The sequence below is a fragment of the Homo sapiens genome, chromosome 17, assembly GCF_000001405.40.
Source record: "Homo sapiens chromosome 17, GRCh38.p14 Primary Assembly".
Lineage (NCBI taxonomy): Eukaryota > Metazoa > Chordata > Mammalia > Primates > Hominidae > Homo > Homo sapiens.
In genome coordinates this window covers 41,225,997-41,234,341 of record NC_000017.11, presented here as the reverse complement: position 1 = coordinate 41,234,341, position 8,345 = coordinate 41,225,997, and the positions used below count along the sequence as shown (strand labels likewise).

Here is an 8,345-nt window from a genome sequence, read left to right as displayed (position 1 = left end):
TACCTTGCTCCTTTCTTACATTCTTCTGATTTCCGTGGAAAAAGAAGTTTTTCATTTCTTTAGATTCTTCATATTGGCCTCACAAAATGTGGAAGGTTGTTTTTATTCCCTTCCTTAGCTCAGAGATTATGGGTTGTGCCAAGTCTTACATGCCCATTGCATAGTTTCTCAATTCCCAGCTTTGTTCTTACATAATTTTACTCATAACACTTCAAGTAGGGGACAAATTGTCTTAACGTGGCATAACGTATGGTCTGTATTTTACAATGAATAACTTAGTTTCATTTACTTTGTCAATTGGTATTCAGGAGACCGATGCTGTATAAGAATTTTATTTACATCACACTGAGAATAAGTTTCTTCAGATGAGGCTCCGTCTCCTGAGTCCACAATAAATTCTCAAGCATTTTTTGATGCAGATGAATTGAATGAATGGCTGGTCAGAGGCTCAGACAAAAAGATCTCTGCATTCAGGGCAGCCATTAAATGCATATCATGCAGCCTTTGCTCACTGAGGTGTGGGGAACTACTTTGGGATTTTTTTGTGTGTGAACAAAAGTGTTATCTGCAAATATGTCAGATTATTCCTCTCATTGTTAAATAAACTCAAGTACATGTCTTGCTAGTGCTGACTTCCAGTGTCTTTTCTACTATATTGGGAGTTAAACGTAAGTGTCCTTGGGCAGAAAGAGAGGACCTCACCTTTGACCAGAGTCTGCCCTTTACTAGCTACATAACATCACACATTAAATTGTTCTCAGCTGAAAAAATGGAGTTAATAATACACGACCATCTGTTTTGAGAATCAAATTGGATAATACCTATGGTATGTGATATGTGTGTAAATCCCATATCAGGAATGCTTTCAAATAAAACAAAACACTATATGAGATGAAGATGGTTCAGAGTTTATTCAGAAACATATAGGTAAGAATCTCTGCTACCAGAGACATAACCCAAAGTTATCGTGAAAAGAAGAAAGAAGGATACAAGAACCATGAGAAGGATATTTAAAATGAAAATATAATTGCAAAGATGATTGATCAGTTGCAGAAACCTAAATTCCTTAGAAGCAAAGAATGAAGCTCTTGATTTTTGAGACAAAGCTGAGATCATGACTCCAAATTAAGAACAGACGAAGCTGGCACATGATCCACAAGGTGTAAGGAAAGAGGGAATGAGGATGAAGTATTCTGCCCTCCCTCAAGCAGATTCCCAAGATTTTAAACATGTAGAGAATTCATAAAAATTTGGGTGAGAGCATGGTGGCTGTCAGCAGCAAAGTAAATTAGTCCCTCAAAAGACAAGTCAGTTGAGCTGAAGGTTGTTGTGTGAGGATGGTAGTTCTCTTGGGAGTTGATTAGCAGCAAGAAGGCTGGCAGCAGCTGTACACACAGGTGGGCTGGAAACAAGTGGTCCTGCAGCAGGTGGTCTCACAGCAGGCTGGGCGGCAGCAGGGCTGGCAGCAGTTGGAGCCACAGCTCTGGTTTAGGCAACCAGGCAGACAAACACTTGTGGGGTGGTAGCAGGTTCTTCTGCAGTACACAGGTGCACAGGAGCTGCTCTGACCACAGCTGGACCCACAGCATGTGGGCTGGCAGCAGGGTGTGCTACAGCAGGAAGGCTGGCAGCAGCTGGTCACACAGATGGGCTGGCAGCAGGTGGTCCTACAGCAGGTGTTTTGACAGCAAGTTGGGTGGCAGCAAGGCTGGCAGCAGCTGGAAACACAGCAGGAGGGCTGACAGCAGGGTGTGCTGCTGCAGGTGGTCACAGTGGTGGGCTGCCAGCAGGTGGTCCTGCAGCAGGTAGGCTGACAGCAAGGGGAGCAACAGTGGGTCATGGTGTCAGGGATGGAGGGTGGGCTTCTGTTAAGAGGTGAGTTTCCCAAAATCTGATGACCCCTTGCAATCTGGACCTTTTATACACCTGGCCTCCAAAGTTTCCACCAATCAGCAGGACTTTTCCTTGTTGCTGTTTACATTGTTTTCCACAGTCCATTTGGGATTGTCAAAGGGGAAGTTGTTACTGAAATCTTATGAACCTTTTAAACTAAGGGTTTAATCTGTTTCTTAATTGTGAGTTACTCATAGAAAGTTTGTTTCAGATAAAAGGAAGCCCGTCTCATCATCAGCATCATTCCTGCTCTGACCATCATCTGGTCATGTGACAGTTCCTGTTGATCCGGGGGGCTCAGGAAGTTCTCTCTGGCCAGCCTCATGTTTGGCTGTATATAGACTTGGAAGTGTCTGTGGGGAGAAGCATGATGCTGATATATTTACAGTGACAAAATGAATCCATGCCTGGGCCCAAGACTATTCACCCACCAAATTCTGACTCAAGACTAACAGGCATCTCTTTGTGCCACCCACATCATCTGTGTCTTTCAGTTCTTTGAATGTCACTTGGGAAGACGGTGACTGCACAGTGTGTTCCATGCGACAGAGCAGATCGAGAACAGGTGGATGCAGAGAAATCTGCTGAGATTTAGACAGCATCAAGCAATGTATGCCCTAGGACGACCATTCATTCTGACTTGTCTGGGAGTGTGGGGATTTCCGGGATGAGAATGGAGGACTTTCTATCACGTAACTTCTTGAGATTCAGGCCAACCAGCATGTGCTCTGGCTCTAGCCCTAAACCTAGTTACTAGCAGTAACTAGAAGTAAGCGTTGAAATTCAGGCCAACCAGCATGTGCTGTGGCTCTAGCCCTAAACCTAGTTACTAGCAGTAACTAGAAGAAGAAGTAAGTAGAAGTAATTTCTTCTATTTCTTTTCAATGAAGGGATTAGATGAGTTGAGATGACACCTGATTCATCGTGGAGTTCTAACATGTTGAAAACATTGTCTAGGTATATCATTCACTTGAGAAGAATGCAAATTATTAATTTCCAACCTGATATAGTATTACATTGTAAATACATCTATGTCCCCATTACCAGGTTAGGAAATAGAAATTAATGCCATTCTCTCCCAATTATATCCGCTTACTCATTTCCAAACAGCTAATCACTCTATCAAGTTATAATCCAGTAGATGACTTTGGCTTTTTAAAATTTCCATGTGAATAAAAATTATAGTATTTGCTTCTCTGTTTCTTTGTTATAATCAAAAGGAATCGTTATCGCCTAGTCATTTTGGACTCTTCCCGTCAGCAGAGCAGCAGACAGAGAAAGGAGTTACTATTTGGTGAGGGGTAATTATCTTTAAGCCATATAGTGTAGCAGAATATATCTATAGCTCAGGATACTTAGTAAGTGTATTAACTTACCAGCACTGCCATAATAAATTACTGTAAACCAAGTGGCTTAAATTTATCTTTTCACAGTTCAGAAATTAAGGTTTTGGCAATGTTGTTTTCATCTGAAGCCTGTGAGGGAAGTACATGTTCCAGGTCTCTCTCCTTGACTTGTTGATGTCTATCATTTCCATGTGTGTTTGATATAATTTTTCTGTTATATGCATGCTGTCTCTGAATTTCCCCCTTTTATATAGACATCAGTCATATTTAATCAGAGGCCTAATTGTTTCCAATATGACCTTGCCTTATCACATAACACTTTAAATGATTCTATTTGAATATGAGTTTTGGGGGACACAAATTAACCCATAACACTGGAGAATCTCATAGTGTGTCCATGTCCAGTGATAACTACAAATCGGTAAGAACAGCAATCACAGTGGACAGTGGTATAGTAACTAGAGGCTCAGACAATTTAGGAAGGAAGTTATCAAGGCAGTTATCAGGCAGTTATCCAGACCAAGAAGAGTGCTGGCCAGCGGTGAAGGGAGAATAGAACTGGTGGTAATAAACGGAGACTGTGAATCTCAGGTGCACTGTACTATAGCAGCAGTAAGTGTAGCTTATTTCATTGGCCTTCATTTTACATCTCACTTCCTCTCCTTTCTTTTCATTTCCTTCTTCTCTCTCCTTCCTCTTCCTTCCTTTCTTCCTTCCTTTCTTCTTCTTTCTTTCTTTCTCTTTCTTTCTTTCTCTTTCTTTCTTTCTTCTTTCTTTCTTTCTCTCTTTCTTTCTTTCTCTCTCTCTCCCTTCCTTCCTTCTTTTTCTCTTTCTCTCTCTCTCTTTCTTTCTTTTGTCCTCCACTCATCTTCTGTCCCTTCTCTTACTCCTCTTTCTCACCTCCTCTTCTTCCTTCTTCTAGAGCTTGTGCCTGTCCATCACATTTAAGTAGCAAAGGTTTTACTTGAGTGGAGCTAATTGTAGATCATAGATAAGTTTTCATGACTGCACCCATATATATTAGATCTTAGTGTGCTTGGACTAATTTCCATCTGTTAGAATCTGCATCTCTGTGCCTAAGAGCTCTTGTATTGCTGCTGTAAGAAGTCATGTCACCTGTGAATGCAACACAGAGAAAAACTCTCAACCAATGATTCTGGAGAGCTGATTTATAAAGACTCTAGCTTCCTCATTCCTGAAGTAGGATAACTCTAGCTGTGTGTTTTTTTGTCATTTCTGATAGTTTTCCCTTTAGTTTAAGCTTTAGTTGGTGACTGTGATACTGACTTGATAGTGTACCCTTTTCTGTATCACTTCCCCAATCCCTACCAGTGTGATCTGCACTTCCGAATAAACTAGTTTCACTGGAATGCTTTCCTCAGAGTCTCTTCTGGGAGAAACTAATCTATGACAATACACTAACTCTCTCAGCCTCAATTTTTTCATCTCTACAAAGGGAACATTAATACCTGTTTTGAAAGTTTGTTAAAGAATTAATAATAGCCGGGTGCAGTGGCTCACGCCTGTAATCCAAGCATTTTGGGAGGCCGAGGCGGGCGGATCACAAGGTCAGGAGATCGAGACCATCCTGGCTAAAATGTTGAAACCCCGTCTCTACTAAAAATACATAAAATTAGCCGGGCGTGGTGGCGGGTGCTTATAGTCCCAGCTACTCGAGAGGCTGAGGCAGGAGAATGGCATGAACCAGGGAGGCAGAGCTTGCAGTGAGTCAAGATTGTACCACTGCACCCCAGCCTGGGTGACAGAGCAAGACTCCATCTCAAAAAAAAAAAAAAAGAATTAATAATAGTGTACACAAAGCATTTAGCCAATATGTCTCCTATAGCAGGCAGCCCAGAATTAGTGTTTTTGTTCAGAAAATTTCTAATTTTAATGTTGAAGATAAGAATATTTTTGTAATAATTAACCAGATCAACCAAATACTTTTTCGAGCTGTATTGAGGTGTAATTGACAAATAAAAATTGTGTCTATTTCAGGTATGGAAGATGATGCTCTAATATATATATCCATTGTGAATAACATGTTTATTAGCCCACGTAGTTACCATTTCCTTTTTATTTTTGTGGTGTGAACATATAAGATCTAACTTCTTGGCAAATTTCAGGTGTATGATACAGTGTTTACAACTATAGTGACACTACTGTACAGTAGACATGCTGAACTTATTCACCTTTCATAACTGATGCTAGTCAAAAGGAATGTCCTAGTTTTCATGTCCTTTACTTCATCCCTGAACGATGATCACAGTAAGTGGCCTTCATCCCTCAGCCAAGTCTTCAGAGCATTCTAGATTCACAGTCTCAGAAGTTGGCATCTGTCATGGAAATCTACATTGTTAGCTCATCAGAGGTATTTCTACCACTCCCATGCTGGTAGGAGGTCGCAAGAAGGTGACCCAGGTCCCCAAACTTTGTATTTCTCTCAGAGCCAGTATCAATCTATCTTTCCCTGAGTGAATGCTTAGCTTGCACCAGTTCAGAACCAAAAGCACCAACCTCTGTCTATCATGACTTCTATGAATGCACACGTTCTACTTTGCTCCTTTCTTACATTCTTCTGATTTCCCTGCAAACACCGTTTTCAGTTTCTTTAGATGCCTCATATTGGTCTTACAAAATTCAGAAGGTTCTTTCATTCCCTTCCTTGGTTTAGAGATTATGGATTGTGCCACGTCTTACATACCCATTGCGTACTTTCTCAATTCCCAGCTTAATTCCTTACTTAATTTTCCTCATAACATTTCGATTAGGGGACAAATTGTCTTAATGTGGCATAAGGTGTGGTCTGTATTTTACAAGGAATAACTTAGTTTCATTGACTTTGTCAACAGGTATTCAGGAGGGGGAGGCTGTGTAAGAATTTTATTTACATCATACTGAGAATAAGTCACTTCAGATGAGACTCTCTCTTATGATGATATAATGAATTCTCAAGCATCTTTTTGATGCGGATGAATTGAATGATTGGCTGGTCAGAGGCTGAGACAAAAAGATCCCTGCATTCAGGGCAGCCATTAAATGCAATCCCTGCTGCCATGTCATGCAGCTGTTGCTCACTGAGGTGTGGGAAAAAATAATTTGGGATTTTTTTGTGAATAAAAATATTATTTGCAAATATGAGAGATTATTTCTCTCATTGTTAAATAAACTCAAGTGCATGTCTTGCTAGTGCTGACTTCCAATGTCATTTCTACTATGTTGAGAGTTAAATGTAAGTGTCCTTGGGCAGAAAGAGAGGACCTCAGCTTGGATCAGAATCTGTCCTTTATTAGCTACATAACATCACATATTAATTTTTTTTCAGGTGAAAAATGAAGGTAATAATGCATGACCACCTGTTTTGAGAATCAAATTGGATAATAACTATGGTATGTGATATGTGTGTAAATCCCATATCAGGAGTGCTTTCAAATAAAACAAAACACTATATGAGATGAGGATGGTTCAGAATTTATTCAGAAACATATAGGTAAGGATTTCTGCTACCAGGGACACAACACAAATTTATCATGAAAAGAAGAAAGAAGGATACAAGAACGATGAGGAGGATATTGAAAACAAAAAAAAGATTGCAAAGATCATCGATCAGTTGCAGAAACCTAAATTCCTTAGAAGCAGGGAATGAAGCTCTTGACTTTAGAGTCAAAGCTGAGACCATGACTCAAACTTGAGAACAGATGAAGCTGGCACATGATCCACAAGGTGTAAGGAAAAAGAGAATCAGGATGAAGTATTCTGCCCTCCCTCAAGCAGATTTCCAAGATTTTAAACATGTAGAGAATTCATAAAAATTTGGGTGAGAGCATGGTGGCTGTCAGCAGCAAATTAAATTAGTCCCCCAAAAGATGAGTCAGTTGAGCAGAAATTTGTTGTGTGAGGATGGTGGTTCTCTTGGAACGTGATCAGCAGCAAGAAGGCTGGCAGCAGCTGGACACACAGGTGGGCTGGAAGCAAGTGGTCCTGCAGCAGGTGGTCTCACAGCAGGCTGGGCGGCAGCAGGGCTGGCAGCAGTTGGAGCCACAGCTCTGGTTTAGGCAACCAGGCAGGCAGACAGTCGTGGGGTAGTAGCAGGTTCTTCTGCAGTACACAGGTGCACAGGAGCTGCTCTGGCCACAGCTGGACCCACAGCTGGTTTGGCCACAGCAGCTGGACCCACAGCAGGTGGGCTGGCAGCAGGGTGTGCTGCAGCAGGAAGGCTGGCAGCAGCTGGTCACACAGGTGGGCTGGCAGCAGGTGGTCCTACAGCAGGTGTTTTGACAGCAAGTTGGGCGGCAGCAAGGCTGGCAGCAGCTGGACACACAGCAGGCGGGCTGGCAGCAGGGTGTGCTGCTGCAGGTGGTCACAGTGGTGGGCTTCCAGCAGGTGGTCCTGCAGCAGGTGGTCCTGCAGCAGGTAGGCTGACAGCAAGGGGAGCAACAGTGGGTCATGGTGTCAGGGGTGGAGGGTGGGCTTCTGTTCAGAGGTGAGTTTCCCAGAATCTGATGACCCCTTGCAATCTGGACCTTTTATACATCTGGCCTCCAAAGTTTCCACCAATCAGCAGGACTTTTCCTTGTTGTTGTTTACACTGTTTTCCATACTCCCTTTGCGATTGTCAAAGGGGAAGTTGTTTCTGAAATCTTATGAATCTTTTGAAAGTAAGGGTTTAATCTGTTTCTTAATTGAGAATTACTCATAAAAACTTTGTTTCAGATAAAAGGAAGGCAGTCTCATCACCAGCATCATTCCTGCTCTGACCATCATCTGGTCATGTGATAGTTCCTGGTGATCCGGGAAGCAGATAGTTCTCTCTGTCCAGCCTCATGGTTGACTGTATGTAGACTGGGAAATGTCTGTGGGCAGTCGCGTGATGCTGTTATGTTCACAGTGATGCATTGAATCCGTGCCCGGCACCAAGCCTATTTACCCACAAAAGTCTGATTCAAGAGTAACAAGCATCTTTCTCGCTACAAACTATTCCACCTGTGTCTTCCAGTTCTATTACACTCACTAGGGAAAGGGTGTTTGGCACAATGTATTCCAAAATGCAGAGCTAGACCAAAGCAGGTGGGTAGAAAAAGGAGTCCACTGGGATTCAGAAAGCAT

The 8,345-nt window shown here is 42.0% G+C and overlaps 2 protein-coding genes across 2 annotated transcripts; both read right to left on the bottom strand.

Annotated features, from left to right (window-relative positions):
• Positions 1-887: 887 nt before the first annotated feature.
• Positions 888-1,893, bottom strand: KRTAP9-3 (keratin associated protein 9-3). Its single transcript, NM_031962.3, has one exon. The coding sequence runs from the start codon at positions 1,838-1,840 to the stop codon at positions 1,361-1,363; it is 480 nt and encodes a 159-aa protein (NP_114168.1). The 5' UTR covers positions 1,841-1,893; the 3' UTR covers positions 888-1,360.
• A 4,796-nt stretch (positions 1,894-6,689) lies between these two features.
• Positions 6,690-7,694, bottom strand: KRTAP9-2 (keratin associated protein 9-2). Its single transcript, NM_031961.3, has one exon. The coding sequence runs from the start codon at positions 7,685-7,687 to the stop codon at positions 7,163-7,165; it is 525 nt and encodes a 174-aa protein (NP_114167.2). The 5' UTR covers positions 7,688-7,694; the 3' UTR covers positions 6,690-7,162.
• Positions 7,695-8,345: the final 651 nt, after the last annotated feature.

What these genes read in the sequence shown, in the direction of transcription:
- KRTAP9-3 (NM_031962.3), bottom strand. Translation starts at nt 1,840, where the DNA reads ATGACCCACTGTTGCTCCCCTTGCTGTCAGCCTACCTGCTGCAGGACC.
- KRTAP9-2 (NM_031961.3), bottom strand. Translation starts at nt 7,687, where the DNA reads ATGACCCACTGTTGCTCCCCTTGCTGTCAGCCTACCTGCTGCAGGACC.